Raw genomic sequence first — 16,618 nt, forward strand, 5'->3', positions numbered from 1 at the left:
GGATCCCCAGTGGGTCCCTACTTTCACCCATCAACATTCGCCAACCTCCAATTTTCTCATCCTCTCTGTTGTCTGATATTCTACTATCAACAATGCGTTTCTTAGAAGAAACTCTGCCCCTTTCCAAATCACATTTTTCTCTTTTAAATGCAAGTCCCCTGGGGAAAGAAAGAAATGACTGTGACATTTAGTGCTAACGGTGTAGTATAAATTTGGGTATATAATTTCTTTTCTACTGGAGAGAAGAGATTAAGAAACTTGACAGGATCCTTTGTAAGAAAGGGAATGAGATGAGAGGTACAAGTCTGGTGTTTTGGGTGGCTCCACATTTTTTCTCCTCTTCTCTTGATAACAGCATCCTGATTTCCTTTGGGAAACCACTACTCATTCTCAGTGAGTCTAGTTTGGCTGTGGCTGACTGCTCCATCCAGCTGCAAAGATGAGCAATCTGACCTGACCAATCAGAGTGCAGCATCTCCCTGGGTACAATGAGAGGTTCAGTGATTAGCACCTGACCCAAGCTAAGTCAATAAGAATCTTACCTGGGACTTTCAGAAGAACCACTGAGAAAGAAGTCAAAAAGGATTATTTTCTTTTTTTTTTTTTTTTTTTTTTGAGACAGAGTCTCTCTATGTCGCCCAGGCTGGAGTGCAATGGCACGATCTCGGCTCACTGCAACCTCTGCCTCCCGGCTTCAAGCGATTCTGCTGCCTCAGCCTCCCAAGTGACGGGGATTACAGGTGTGAGCCACTACGCCCAGCTAATTTTTGTATTTTTAGGAGAGACAGGGTTTTGCCATATTGGCCAGGTTGGTCTTGAACTCCTGACCTCAAGTTATCTATTTGCCTCAGCCTCTCAAAGTGCTGGGATTACAGGCGTGAGCCACTGCACCCGGCCAAATTATCTTATTTTCTGTCCAACTTCGCCCTCCAGCAAACTAGGAGTCATCAATTCATAATCAGGCACTGGTCAGATGAAAATGCTTTAGACACACAGGTAAACATGAGTTAGTGTCCAGTTAGTATAGACCAGGGATCTGAAAATTATAACCTTCCAGTCAAATCCGATGCCCCCACCCCCATGTTTTTGTGAATAAAGTTATGTATTTAGGTGCAATGGCTGATTTTGCACACAAGTAGCAAAGTTGAGTAGCTGCAACAGAGACCAGCAGGCCCACAAAGCCAAATATATCAACTATCAGTCCCTTTACCAAATAAGTTTGCCAACCCCTGGTGTCAAGCCGTGGAGAATGTGTGTCTGGAGATGTAGAATCTGGGACTCAGAAGGCTCTTGTTAGGTTAGAAACTTTCGTCCTGGCAATGTTACTTATAATGAGCATTCACCCTTCTTCCGTCCTTCTCTGCAGGGTTAGGTGTGTTTGATTGCATTTTCTGCCTGATTTGATTGCAGCCAACTCTTTGGCAGCATTGTCACTCTGAGGCTACAGAGGGGACTTTTCAGTTAAACTTTTAAAGTCTGCAGCCTATTACAAATCACAGTACTGCTAAACTGAGACAAAGAATGAGAAAGACCTCTTATCCCTCTTTAAACAACCTGGATCCACGGGCTTCAGCAGCTGCGGTCATCTGGCACCAGCCCATCAGACAAGTTGCAAGAAAGGAAGATAAGAAATATGAGCTGGGTGCTCAGTGGCTCACACCTGTAATCCCACACTTTGGGAGGCTGAGGCAGGAGGATCTCTTGAACCTACAAGTTTGAGACCAGGCTGGGCAACATAGCGAAAACCCTGACTCTACAAAAAAATAGAAAAAATTAGCAGGGCATGCTGGTACATGCCTGTAGTCCCAGCTACTTGGGAGGCTGAGGTGGGAGGATTGCTTGAGCCCGGGAGGTTAAGGCTGCAGTGAGCTGTGATCACACCACTGCATTCCAGCCTGGGCAACAGAGTGAGACCTTGTCAAACAAAAAAAAAAGAAGAAGAAGAAAAAAAAAGAAACAAAAAAAAAAAAGAAAAAAAAAATATGAGTTAGGTAAAGCAATGCACTTTTCCAGAAACTCCCAGAAAGGACATAATTAACCCAGGGAGAAGGAATACCTAATTTAAAATTAGAAAAACGTAGGCCGAACATGGTGGCTCGTGCCTGTAATCTCGACACTTTGGGAGGCTGAGGGGGGTGGATCACTTGAGGTCAGGAGTTCAAGACCAGCCTGGCCAACATGGTGAAACCCCGTTTCTACTAAAAATACAAAAATTAGCCAGGTATGGTGGCACGTGCCTATAGTCCCAGCTACTCAGGAGGCTGAGGCAGGAGAATTGCTTGAACCCAGGAGACGGAGGTTTGCAATGAGCTAAGATCGCACCACTGCACTCCAGCCTGGGCAACAGAGTGAGACTTCGTTTCAAAAAAAAAAATGAGAAGAATGATTTGGAAAAGCAAGAGGCAACTTCTAAGCCTTTTCCCCCTTGATGAATAACAAAAATTGTTTAAACAATAGTGATTCACCTTTATCGAATATTTACTATGTGCCAGATTTCTCTCAACTGGAATAAATTAACTCATGAAATATTCCTAACAATGTGAGGTTGATACTCTCATTGTCGTCATCTTACAGCTGAGAAGATTGAGGCTCAGAGAGGTTAAGTTACACAACCAAGGCAACACAGCCAGGAAGAGGCAATGTCAAGATTTGAACCCAGGCTCCTGAGCAACCACACTACACTAGAGTGAAGGTTCTACTACAGTTGGGTCAAGGTAGAGAGTGCTATGTATTATACTTGCTTATAAGCCTTTTTTTTTTTTTTCTGAGACAGAGTCTCACTCTGTCACCCAGGCTGGAGTGCAGTGGCACAATCTCGGCCCACTGCAACCTCCACCTCCCGGGTTCAAGCGATCGTCCTGCCTCAGCCTCCCAAGTAGCTGGGATTAAAGGCGCCTGCCACCAAGCCTGGCTAATTTCTGTATTTTTAGTAGAGACAGGGTTTCACCATATTGGCCAAGCTGGTCTCGAACTCCTGACCTCGTGATCCACCTGCCTCAGCCTCCCAAAGTGCTGGGATTACAGGTGTGAGCCACCGCGCCTGGCCCGCTTATAACTCATTTTTAAAACCTCTCTCTTACATTTCTTCTTCACTTTTTCAACAACCTAATATTGAGGACCTACCAGCCTAGACTTAGGCCCTAGGGCCACAAAGATGAGTGAAAATCAATACTATTCAAAAGCCTAAATTTCTATCCAAATTATTGGTTTAACTCAAAGTTTTGATTTCTGGGCGGGGTGTGGTGGCTCACGCCTGTAATCCTAGCACTTTGGGAGGTTGGAGGTGGGCGGATCACTTGAGGCCAGGAGTTCGAAACCAGCCTGGCCAACATGGCAAAACTCCGTCTCTACTAAAAATACAAAAAAATTAGCTGGGCATGGTGACACGCACCTGTAATCCCAGCTACTCAGGAGGCCGAGGCAGGAGAATCACTTGAACTTAGGAGGCAGAGGTTGCAGTGACCTGAGATTGCACCACTGCACTCCAGCCTGTGCGACAGAGCGAGACTCTGTCTCAAAAAAAAAAAAAGTTTTGATTTCTGCTGGCAACTCCTCTTTGGGATGCTTTAAGCTGTTATCCCATGTTAGAGCCTCTGTATAAATCAATGTTTCGCTAGGGACGTTAGCCATCCTCCAAAGATTCATGTACTCTCTTTACAACATAGAGCTGTTTCAAAGTCTTCTTTGTGAAAAAGAAAAATCAACCCTCTTCAGCAGGATGAATGTGACGGCCCAGACTAGATGTGCTGAGCTACCTCAGTTAGTAGCCTGGTGACCTCTGGGAAGGTTTCGGTGCACATGCTGATGGGCCTGGAAGCCTTTGGTTCTGAAGGATGGAGGGATGGAGGCAGCTCTGGCATTTTGTGGGTGGTACTGTTCATATGTGTGCTCGTGTGTGTGTGTGTCTGTTTAGTGTGTTTGCTTTGGGCAGAAGGGTACCCCAAGGAAGTGATTTGGAAGGGAGGAAGGCAAGAAGAAGGTATTACAGCTGTCACCCTTGGAACTGGTTTTAAAAGAGGTGATAATGGAAGAAGCTGATTCACAAGAAACTTCTAGGAGACTCTAAGCCCAAGCGATGTTGCTTGGGTAGAGCTGGCCAGAAAGTGAGGCACTCATTTTGGGCACAAAAATTCAAGGGGTAGTTCCAAAACTTCAGTAATCATGGTAAATATTTTAATGCAATTTTTTTTTTTTTTTTGAGACAGGGTCTCATTCTGTCACCCAGTGTCACCCAGGCTGGAGTACAGTGGCGCGATCTCCACACACTGCAACCTCTACCTCCTGGGCTCAAGTCATTCTTCCACCTCAGCCTCCTGAGTAGCTGAGATCACACACCTAGCTAATTTTTGTATTTTTTGAAAGGACAGGCTTTCGCCATGTTGTCCAGGCTGGTCTCAAATTCCTGAGCTCAAGCAATCTGCCTGCCTTGAACTCCCCAAGCACTGAGATTACAGGCATGCAATATTTTTTTAAAAATCAAAATTAATGCCAAAAATTCCATGACGAACAAAATACCAAAACTTAAAGGACAGGACTGGGGGGCCCTGGGGACAACATGTAGCGATGAGCTGGGGAGAGAAAGCTTCTAGCAGCTTCTGCAAGGAAACTACATGTCTCCGGCCCCTCAGGAGAGGGGCCCTTGGGGGCTTTCAGAGGCAGAGCCTGCCGCAGACACTGAGTACTTCAGAGGTGCATTGCAACAAGGCAGGGTGAGACACCGTGATGGGGAGTGCATGTCAGCTCTGCTTCTGAGTCTGGATGAAAATCCGGCCACAGACTCCTCCAGAGAGTTGTGGAGGAAGGGAGGTCTTTAACCCTCCAATTATGGGCTGGGAGCCACGATAACTTGAACATCAGGGAGAAAGTACTCATGGCTAGTGAAGCACACATGTGTTTATTTATTTTTACAACAAAGACGGATGCCCCTCCTAGGTGCCAAGTATGCTTAGCCACAGGGGACACAGAGCACCAGGAGGCAGGAAACCAGTCAACCCATGGTCAAGGAATCACAAATTATGAGGTGGCCTCAGTGAAGGAGAGCAGAAAGGGTCTATGTCAAGATCACAGGCTTGATCCCAAGGAGCTACCTGAGCTGAGGTTAATATCTGCCTCTGCCTCTCCATTTCCCACTCTTTTCCCAGTGCTTTTTTTGAGACACTGTCTTGTTTTGTCACCCAGGCTGGAGTGCAGTGGTGCAATCTCAGCTCACTGCAACCTCCACCTCCTAGGTTCAAGCAATTCTTCTGCCTCAGCCTCCTGAGTAGCTGGGATTACAGGCATGCACCACGATACCCAGCTAATTTTTGTATTTTTAGTAGAGATGGGGTTTCACCATGTCGGCCAGGCTGGTCTCGAACTCCTGACCTCAAGTGATCTGCCCACCTTGGCCTCCCAAAGTGCTGAGATTACAAGCGTGAGCCACCAAGCCCGGCCTCCAGTGCCTCTTTACTCCCTTTTTGTCTTGCCTTCCGTCTTCTCTTTTCTTTCCTTTTCCTATGCCATTGGAACCTCCCAGCCTCAGTCCTCTGGTAGAATTTGAGGCTGAGCAAGTTCATTACAAAAATATTTCTGAGCTAGGCATGGCGGCACATACCTGTAGCCCCAACTACTCCAGAGGCTGAGGCAGGAAGTTACTTGAGCCCAGGAGTTCTAGCTATAATGAGCAATGATAGAGCCTGTGAATAGCAGCCATTTTACTCCAGGCTAGCCAACACAGAAAGACTCCTTCTATAACACTTTTTAAAAATATTTCTGAGCCGGGCACAGTGGCTCACGCCTGTAATCCTAGCACTTTGGGAGACTGAGACAGGTGGACTGCCTGAGCTCAGGACTTCAAGACCAGCCTGGGCAACATGGTGAAACCCTGTCTCTACTAAAATACAAAAAATTAGCTAGGCACAGTGGTGTGTGCTTGTAATCCCAGCTGCTTGGGAGGATGAGACAGGAGAATCTCTTGAACCTGGGAGGCGGAAGTTGCAGTGACCCAAGATCATGCCACTGCACTCCAGCCTGGTCGACAGAGCAAGACTCCATCTCAAAATAAATAAATAAATAAATAAAAATAAAAATATTTCTGGCCCAGGCACAGTGTCTCATGCCTCTAATCCCATCACTTTGGGAGGAAGACACGGGCAGATTGCTTGAGCCCAGAAGTTTGAGACCAGCCTGGATAACATATCGAAACCCCATCCCTACAAAAACTATAGAAATTAGCTGGCTGTGGTGTTGCATGCCTGTTGTCCCAGCTACTCCGAAGGCTGAGGTGGAAGGATCGCTTGAGCCGGGAGGTCGAGGCTGCAGTTAGCCGTGAGCATGCCGCTACACTCCAGCCTGGGTGATGGAGCAAGACGCTGTCTCAGAAAAATATGTACATATTTCTTTTATTTTTTTCTGAGACAGAGTCTCTGTCGCCCAGGCTAGAGTACAGTGGCCCGATCTCAGATCACTGCAAGCTCCACCTCTCAGGTTCACACCATTCTCCTTCCTCAGCCTCCTGAATAGCTGGGACTACAGGCGCCTGCCACCATGCTGAGCTAATTTTTTGTATTTTTAGTAGAGACGGGGTTTCACCATGTTAGCTAGGATGGTCTCGATCTCCTGACCTCAGGTGATCTTCCCACCTCCGCCTCCCAAAGTGCTGGGATTACAAGCGTGAGCCACCGCACCTGGCCCATATTTCTGATATAAAAATAGGTGGGGGCTGGGCACGGTGGCTCACGCCTGTAATCCCAGAACTTTGGGAGGCCAAGGCAGGCAGATCACCTAAGGTCAGGAGTTCCAGACCAGCCTGGCCAACACAGTGAAACCCCATCTCTACTAAAAATACAAAAAATTAGCCAGGAGTGGTGGCAAGCGCCTGTAATCCCAGCTACTTGGGAGGCTGAGGCAGGAGAGTTGCTTGAATCTGGGAGTCGAAGCAAAGACCTGGGAGGTGAGCAGAGACCGCGCCACTGCACTCAAACCTGGACAAGAGCAAACCTCTGTCTAAAAAAAAAAAATAGGTGGGAAACAAGAAAAAAGAAAAAAACAAAAAAAGAGAAAAAAACAGGTGGGAAACAAAGAGAAAAAACTCAAAATTCTATATTCAGAATGATCTAGAGTATGTAAAAATATGTTCATTTAAAAAGGCAAAAATAAAACAAAAAAAACTGGAAGGAAGGCAATGACAATGATCCTGGCCTTGGAATGCTGGGACCTGAGAAATAAGCCCACCTCTCTACATTCAGATGTTTTTCCAAAAAAAATATAAAATTTTTAAAAATGGACCAGGCGCAGTGGCTCACGCATGTAATCCCAGCACTTGGGCAGATCACTTGAGATCAGGAGTTGGAGACCAGCCTGGCCGACATGGTGAAACCCCGTCACTACTAAAGACACAAAAATTAGCCAGGCATGGTGGTGCGTGCCTGTAATCCCAGCTACTCAGGAGGCTGAGGCAGGAGAATTGCTTGAACCCGGGAGGCAGAGGTTGCAGTGAGCCGAGATCGTGCCACTGCACTCCAGCCTGGGCGACAGAGCAATACTCCGTCTCAAAAAAAAAAAAAAGTTTCTAATTAGACCTAGGCTAGACTTAGACTCCAGAAATAACTAAATAGAAAAATATACGTTATCTTCCCTCATAAGAAAATTTACAGATGATATTTCTGTGAACATGAGATTAAATCCTATGGCCTTTCATTATGACATTTTAAAATTTATGTTCTGCCTCATTTCACAAAAGACTTAAAGCAGAAATTTGGACATATTTTATGGAAATAACTATTTAGCTGAGACTATGCTCCATTGCTGTAATATTCAAAATGGGGTTTTTTAAAATTATATATTCAGAGGAAGAAGTCCCGGGCATTATAAAGAAGAGACATTAAATCAGAGGACGGCAAATGTTTTCTGTAAAAGGCCAGAGAGTCCGTGTTTTCAGCTTTGCAGATTATACAGTCCATTCCACCATTAACTCACTCTGCCCTTGCAGCAGGAAAGCAGCCACAGACCACACGCAAACCAACAAGAGTGGCTGTGTTAGCAGAAAACCTTATTTATGGACTCTGAAATTTGAATTTTAGGTAATGTTCACACGTCATGAAATATTACTCTTCTTTTACTTTTTTTTTTTTTTTTTTGAGACAGAGCCTTGCTCTGTTGCCCAAGATGAAGTGAAGTGGCGTAATCTCGGCTCACTGCTGCAGCCTCCACCTGCCAGGTTCAAGTGATTCTGCTGCCTCGGCCTCCCGAGTAGCTGGGATTACAGGCACGTGCCACCACACCCAGCTAATTTTTGTATTTTTAGTAGAGATGGGATTTCACCATGTTGGCCAGGCTGGTCTTGAACTCCTGGCCTCAGGTGATCCACCCACCTTGGCCTCCCAAAGTGCTGGGATTACAGGCATGAGCCACCACACTCGGCCTCTTTTACTATTTTTTAACTATTTAAAAACGTAAAAGCTATTCTTAGCTCCCTGGCCATACTAAAACTGAGAGCAGGCAAGATTTGGTCCACAGGCAGTAATTTCTGGAAACCTGTTCGAGAGCAACGTTTTCCAGTGTTTCCTGAGACAAAACCCTTCCTGGAGATGGTAATTGATGTCTTTCAAAAATAGAGATACGAGACAGGCGTGGTGGTTCACGCCTGTAATCCCAGCGCTTTGGGAGGCCAAAGTGGGCAGATCACCTAAAGTCAGGAGTTCGAGACCAGCCTGGCCAACATGGTGAAACCCCAACTCTACTAAAAATACAAAAAATTAGCCAGGCGTGGTGGCGGGTGCCTATAATCCCAGCTACTTGGGAGGCTGAGGAAGAGAATTGCTTAACCCCAGAGGTGGAGGTTGTAGTGAGCCGAGATCGTGCCATGGTACTCCAGCCTGGGCAACAGGAGCGAAACTGCATCTCAAAATAATAATAATAATAATAATATATATATTATATATATATGTCGGACTCTCAGTCAAGTAAAGTTGCATCAATACTAAGTTTAATGAGTATTTTTTCTAGAGAATTCTGAGTCTCTGTTGTGCTAAGGTACATGGTAAATCCCCAAGAGATGCACCTATTATCCAGTGGTGAATCTTATTATTCATTATAAACATCTTATTAATAATAATCATATAATTAATGTTACTACATGGTGACCTTCTGCCAGAAACCATGCTGAGCATTTTGTAGGGATTAACACATTTGCTGGGCACAGTTATTCATGCCTGTAATCCCAGCACTTTGTGAGGCTGAGGCGGGAATATCGCTTGAGCCCAGGAGTTCAAGACCAGCCTGGTAATATAGTGAAACCCCATCTCTATGAAAAACAATAGAAAAAATTAGCAGGGCATGGTGGTGCATGCTCGTAGCCCCAGCTACTCGGGAGGCTGAGGTAGGAGGGTTGCTTGAGCCTGGGAAGTCGAGAATACAGTGAGCTGTGATCGTGCCACTGCGCTCCTGCCTGGGCAACAGAGCAAGACCCTGTCTCAAAAAAACACAAAACATGGATTCTTCACTAGAGTTAAGAATCTGTGAGATAAGAATCATTGTTAATAACTTATTCTACAACATTAATGTGCCAAAGAACACAGTTTTGGAAATGCAACTCTAGACCCTAGAACAGGGTTTCTCTACCTCAGCACTATTGATATTCCAAAGCTTCTTTGTTACCAGCACTGTCCTGTGCATTGTAGGATGTTTAGCAGCATTCCTGGTCTCTACCCAAAATGCTAGGACTACCCTCCCATCCCAATTGTGACTACCCAGGATGTCTCCAGATATTGCCATATGTCCCATGGGAGGCAAAATCACTCCCACTCAAGAACCACTGCTGGAGGCTGCTCCAAAGGTAGTGAGTTATCTCAATTCATTGTTCACAGTCCGTTACAGATAGAACTCCTGGTTCTACTCTTTCCCCTTCTTACTACTGCACTCGACTAGCCTTAACCAATAAATTAAAACATATATATAATATTTTTATATACTATGTTATAACATATAATGTGTACACGAAATTATATGTAGGTCAGGGTGTGGTGGCTCACGCCTGTAATCCCAGCACCTTGGGAGGCTGAGGTGGGGGGATCACGAGGTCAAGAGATCGAGACCATCCTGGCCAACATGGTGAAACCCCGCCTCTACTAAAAATACAAAAATTAGCTAGGCGTGGTGGCACACACCTGTAGTCCCAGCTACTTGGGAGGCTGAGGCAGGAGAATCACTTGAACCTGGGAGGCGGAGGTTGCAGTGAGCCGAGATCACGCCACTGCACTCCAGCCTGGCAACAGAGCAAGACTCTGTCTCAAAAATATATATGTATGTGTGTGTGTGTGGGTGTGTGTGTGTATGTATGTACATATAATATATACAATTATATTTATAACATTATATATAACATATATATGACATATATGTTATATATAACATAATATATAATATTATATATATAATTATATATTTTTTTAAAAACCACTGCTATACAGTCTGTAGCAATGTGTGCAGATTTTTTAGTGGAAACTGTATCAGAATGATCTTTTAACTGGATTTGAACAAACTTAGTCCTGGGACACTATCTTAAAAACAGTTGGTAGTCGTGGCTTATGGTGTAATCAACAAAACAAGTATTGCTATCTCTGATAAATCATCATGTGCGCTCCTTGTAACACTTTCTGGATATTCTAAAATATTCTAGCCTTTGACCCAATAATTCCACTTCTGAAAAATCTAACCATGAGGAAATCGGAAATGTGAACAAAGGTAAATGCACAAAAATATCAACATAGTGTTTCTATAAATAACGAACACTCCAAAGAAACCAAGACTCAGCTTAGGGTATTGGTGTCAAAATGTATGTTTCATTCATCAGTGGAAGGCATTACATTGTTCAAAACTTATGACTACAAAGAATATTAATAACTGGGGGAATGTTTTCTCTTATACCATTAAGTAAATGAAAGAGGACCCAATTTTGATGATAAAGTTTAATCTTGGCCAGGCGCAGTGGCTCACTCCTGTAATCCCAGCACTTTGGGAGGTCGAGGCATGTGGATCACCTGAGGCCAGGAGTTCAAGACCCGTCTGGCCAAAATGGCGAAACCTCGTCTCTGCTAAAAATACAAAAGTTAGCCAGGCGTGGTGGCAGGCGCCTGTAATCCCAGCTACTTGGGAGGCTGAAGCGCAAGAATTGCTTGAACCCGGGAGGCAGAGGTTGCACTGAGCCCAGATCGTGCCCCTGCACTCCAGCCTGGGCAACAGAGCAAAACTGTCTCAAAAAAAGAAAAAAAAATGTTCAATCTCAAAACAAAATGTTAATGTATAAAAAGAACAGTGCTCAAATGTTAATACTTCAAAACTGTGAGGTTAGGCTGGGCCTGGTGGCTCACGCCTGTAATCCCAGCACTTTGGGAGGCTGAGGTGGGTGGATCACTTGCGGTCAGGAGTTTGAGACCAGCCTGACTAATATGGTGAAACCCCATCTCTACTAAAATTACAAAAATTAGCCAGGCATGTTGTCATGTGCCTATAGTCCCAGATACTCGGGAGGCTGAGGCAGAATAGCTTGAACCCAGGAGGTGGAGGTTGCAGTGAGCTAAGATCGTGCCACTGTACTCCAGCCTGGTGACAGAGCAAAATTCTGTCTCAAAAAAAAAAAAAAAAACTGGGAAATTATGAGTATTTTCTTTTTCTATGACCAACTAGGGGTAGTTCTTAATTTGCCAAGAAACCTTTCTCTTTTCTAAAGCAACTGAAGAAACCAGAGAAGAGTAAAGCTCATTCGTTGTTGCTACTGTTTGGATGCACTCCTTAGCACTATGTCCTCACTAGCTGTGTACAGGTGCAAGGTCTGGTGTCCTCATCTATAAAATGGGGATGATAAAGGTTCCTATCTCAAATGTAGTTGTAACATTTAAATGAGACAATGCATGAAAAATGCATGGCCCATTGGACATGCTCCGTAACTGCGAACTATTTCCCGGTCTGTGGAAATGTACAATGTGTTCGGGGAAATTCAGATGAGTTATTCTTTCTTTGTTATCTTGATTTCCTTAAGAATTTTTCTCAAACCAAAAGAATTAACACCTTTAAAACAATGCCTTCCAACACTGATCTTTATGCAAGTCTCAATGAAGTTTTCACTGATTTGTTTTTCATGAGGGTTTTTTTTTTTTTTCAATTTAAAGGACAGTCCTTCAGTCTTCAATTATGTTTTTCCAACTGTCTTGGTTTCTCTTTTGTGAAATGATAGTGAGAGTAAATGCCAGTTGGATTTTTTGAATACCCTTTCTTACCTGGCAAAATCAAAACTTGGTATCCTTACAACGGCATCAGTTTTTTTCAACATTACTGGTTAATGAATTCCAAAACTCTGGGAGCTCTGGCTGTCCACCCAAATTAAAGGTTTTCCTGGACGCTTACTTTCATCTGCCGCTGTTGTTGTTGTTGTTGTTGTTGTGTTGTTTTGTTGTTGAGACACGTTCTCAGTTTGCTACCCAGGCTAGAGTGCAGTGGCCCCATCACAGCTCACTGCAGCCTCAACCTCCCAGACGCCAGCAATCCTCCCACCTCAGCTTCCCAAGTAGCTGGGACCACAGATGCATGCCACTGCATCTGGCTAATTTTTCATTTTTTGTAGAGATAGGGTCTTGCTCTGTCGCCCAGACTGGTCTCAAACTCCTTGTTTCAAGCAATCCTCCTGCCTTGGCCTGCCAAAGTGTTGGGATTGTATGCGTTAGCCACCAAGCCTGGCTTCATCTGCTTTTCAAGTAAGCATGTCATGCAATTGCCTACCCTACCAAAAAAAAAAAAAAAACAGTTCTTTGGAGGCTAAGCAGTGCCCTTTCCTTTGGGTCATCATCTGTGTGTGACAACATAAGTACCGGGGGAATCAACTTAAGATCTTATGGGGCAGCTCCAGATGCAATTGTCCTGTAGACAGGAATGTATGCAGGGAGCCCTTGCTTTCCAGCTTAACAGGTCAGAATCCTCACTGTGACAGTATGAGCCAATGGCTGGTCTGGTTTACATTTGTTTACCCGGAGTTCTACAGTTGCTGATTAATTTCCTAAGGTTGGCCTAGAAATCCAGTAGCTGGTTTATTTTAGTTTCTCTTGCAGCCTTTGTTTCCAAGTTGCAACCAATTGCTATTCTTAGCTAATACTTCCCTCGTGTGGACAGAAGCTGCAATACCAGTGCCTGGGAGAAAAACCTTTTCCTCTGATCCATTTGAAGTCCTCTCTCTAACGGGCTGCCTTTAATAAAACTAAAAGCTGTCTCTACCTGCGTCTGGGTTCTGAGTGCTGTAGAGAGAGAAGGTAACCCAACTGAGTAGAGACTGCTCTAGGTTGTGAGTGCAAATCGAGGCTTCACTGCTGGGATGACGCCCCCTCAGGCCTCAGTTTCCTAATAAATAGAACAGGCCAGGCACGGTGGCTCATGCCTGGAATCCCAACACTTTGGGAGGCCGAGGCGGCAGATCACGAGGTCAGGAGATCGAGACCATCCTGGCTAACACAGTGAAACCCCATCTGTACTAAAAATACAAAAAATTAGCTGGGCGTGGTGGCGGGCACCTGTAGTCCCAGCTACTCGGGAGGCTGAGGAAGGAGGATGGCGTGAACCCAGGAGGCAGAGCTTGCAGTGAGCGGAGATCGTGCCACTGCACTCCAGCCTGGGCGACACAGTGAGACTCTGTCTCAAATAAATTAATTAATTAATTAATTAATTAATAAAATAAAATAGAACAGTAGCCTTCACACACTAGGTATAAGATAGAAAAGTTAAAAGGAAAATACAGCATATTCTCCTAGGCATAAATTAAAATTCAATAAACATTCACTATAACTCAGTTCTTGTAGAAATTTAATTATATGCCCAGAATTTATGTCACATATATAACAAAGTTTCAAACGTATTCAAATGTTACAGTTAATAAGATACAAAGCCATTCACTAGACCAATAAATGTCTTGGTAGTCTTTGTTATTAAGGGTTGCCTCAACTAATATCATCCATTCATTTATTCAAAATATATTTATTCAGGCCGGACATGGTGGCTCATGCCTGGAATCCCAGCACTTTAGAAAGCCAAGGCAGAAGGATCACTTGAGCCCAGGAATTTAAAACCAGCCTGAACAACATGGCATTACCCTATCTATACCAAAAAATACAAAAATTAGCCAGGCATGGTGGTACATGCCTGTAGTCTCAGCTACTCGGGATGCTGAGGTGGAAGGATCACTTGAGCCCAGAGGGTGGAGGCTGCAGTGAGCCGAGGCTGCACCATTGCACTCCACACTGGGCAACAGAATGAGACCCTGTCTCAGAAACGAAACAAAAAACAAAACAAAACAAAACAAAAAACCCAAAATATATTTATTTAGATGTATTCACTGAAGACTTAGCCAGGCATGATGGCTCACACTTGTTATCCAGCACCTTGGGAGGCCGAAGAGGAGGATTACTTGAGGCCAGGAGTTTGACACCAGCCTGAGCAACATAATGAGACTTTGTTCCTACAAAGAAATTCAAAAATTAGCTGGGTATGGTGGCACGTGCCTATAATCCCAGCTACTCAGAGGGCTGAGATAGGAGGATCCCTTGAGTCTGGAAGTTTGAGGTTTCAGTGAGCTACGATTGGGACACTACACTCCAGCCTGTGCAACAGAGCAAGACCATCTTTAAAAAAAAACAAACAAACAAAGCAAGTACTATTATTTAGACTAAAAGTCTAGGAAAGAGTATCACACTAATATGGGGTCTTAATATTGCAAAGTAAAAGAAAAAAGGAGCAGGGTGACCCACGTGAGCAAGCAGTTCCACTCCTAGTTATACACTCAAAGAACTTAAAAAGGACATTCAGACAAAAACTTGTCCAGCAATGTTCACAGCAGCATTACTCACAATAGCCAAAAGATGAAGACCATCCAATGTCCGTACTGATGAATGGATAAACAAAATGTGGCCTGCATTAGGCTGTTCTTACATTACTATAAAGAAATACCTGGCCAGGCGCGGTGGCTCACGCCTGTAATCCCAACACTCTGGGAGGCCAAGGTGGGCGGATCACGAGGTCAGGAGTCCGAGACCAGCCTGACCAACACAGTGAAACCCCGTCTCTACTAAAAATACAAAAATTAGCCAGGCATGGTGGCGGGCGCCTGTAATCCCAGCTACTTAGGAAGCTGAAGCAGAAGAATCGTGTGAACCTGGGAGGCGGAGGTTGCAGTGAGCCGAGATGGTGCCACTGAACTCCAGCCTGGGGACAGAGTGAGACTCCGTCTCAGAAAAAAAAAAAGAAAGAAAGAAATACCTGAGACTGAGACTGGGTAATTTATAAAGAAGAGAGGTTTATTGACTCACGGTTCTGCAGGCTGTACAGGAAGCATAGCAGCTTCTACTTCCAGGGAGGCCTCAGGAAACCTACAACCATGGTAGAAAGCAAAGCGGGAGAGAAGCGTCTCAAATGGCGGGAGCAGGAGCAAGAGTTGGGTGGGGGTGCTACACACTCTTAAACAACTATATCTCATGAGAACTCACTATCATGAGAACAACACAAGAAGATGGTGCTAAACCATTCATGAGGATCCACCCCCATGATCCTGTCACCTCCCACCAGGCCCCACCTCCAACACGGAGGATTACAAGTGAACATGATATTTGGGTGGGGACACAGATCCAAACCATATGTTGGTCTATCCACATCACGGAATATTATTCAGCTATAAAAAGGCATGAAACACTGATCCATGCTCCACCATGAGTAAGCCTCAAAAACATTATGCTAAGTCCCAGCTGGGCTCAGTGGCTCACGTCTGTAATCCCAACTTTGGGAGGCCTAGGTGGGAGGATCACTTGACCCCAGGAGTTCCCGACCAGCCTGAGCAACATAGTAAGACCTTCTTGTCTCCTCAAAAAATAAAAATAAAAAAAATTACCCGAGTATTGTGCTGAACACCTGGGGCCCCAGCTACTCAGGAGGCTGAGGCAGGCAGGAGGATCACCTGAGCCCAGGAGGTCGGAGCTGCAGTGAGCTGCGATTGCGCCACTGCCCTCCAGCCTGGGTGACAGAGCAAGACCCTGTCTCGAAAAAAAAAAAAAAAGTTACACTAAGGGCAAGAAACCAGACACAAAAACCACATAATTCCAGTCATATGGAATGCCCAGAATAGGTAAATCCATACAGACAGAAGCTAGATTAGTGGTTGCCAGAGGCTAGGGGAGGGAAGGATGGCGGGTGGTGGCCTAACTGGGCTTCCTTTTGAGACAATGGAAATATTTTGAAACTTGATAATAGAGGTGGTGGTTGCACAACGTTGTCAGTGTACTAACAGCTATTGAATTGTACACTTTAATATAGTTTTTCTTTTTGAATTTTTTTCTTCTTTTTACATATATTTTGTTTATTGGCCTCCAGCTTTGCATAATGTGGTATATTTTATGTTTTGTAAATTTTACCTCAATATAAATAAACATATACATTTTCAAAACATTTTTAAATGTGTGTGATGTTCTGATGAAGAAAACTCAGGCCCTCGAGCCCAGCAGTCTGTTTCCAGTCCCAACTCAGCCATGTGCCAGCTTTTGTGTGTGTGTGTGTGTGTGTGTGTGTGTGTGTGTGTGTGTCATGGAGTTTCTCTCTTATCGCCCAGGCTGGA

General features: G+C 44.6%; 1 annotated feature.

Annotated features, from left to right (window-relative positions):
• Positions 433 to 733: a silencer, noted in NCBI's record as "silencer 6 fragment used in repoter construct". NCBI's record gives its function as "represses an SCP1 promoter by reporter assays in K562 erythroleukemia cells {active_cell/tissue: K562}" and the evidence as "EXISTENCE:reporter gene assay evidence [ECO:0000049][PMID:32103011]".

Source organism: Homo sapiens, chromosome 20 (genome assembly GCF_000001405.40).
Source record: "Homo sapiens chromosome 20, GRCh38.p14 Primary Assembly".
NCBI lineage: Eukaryota > Metazoa > Chordata > Mammalia > Primates > Hominidae > Homo > Homo sapiens.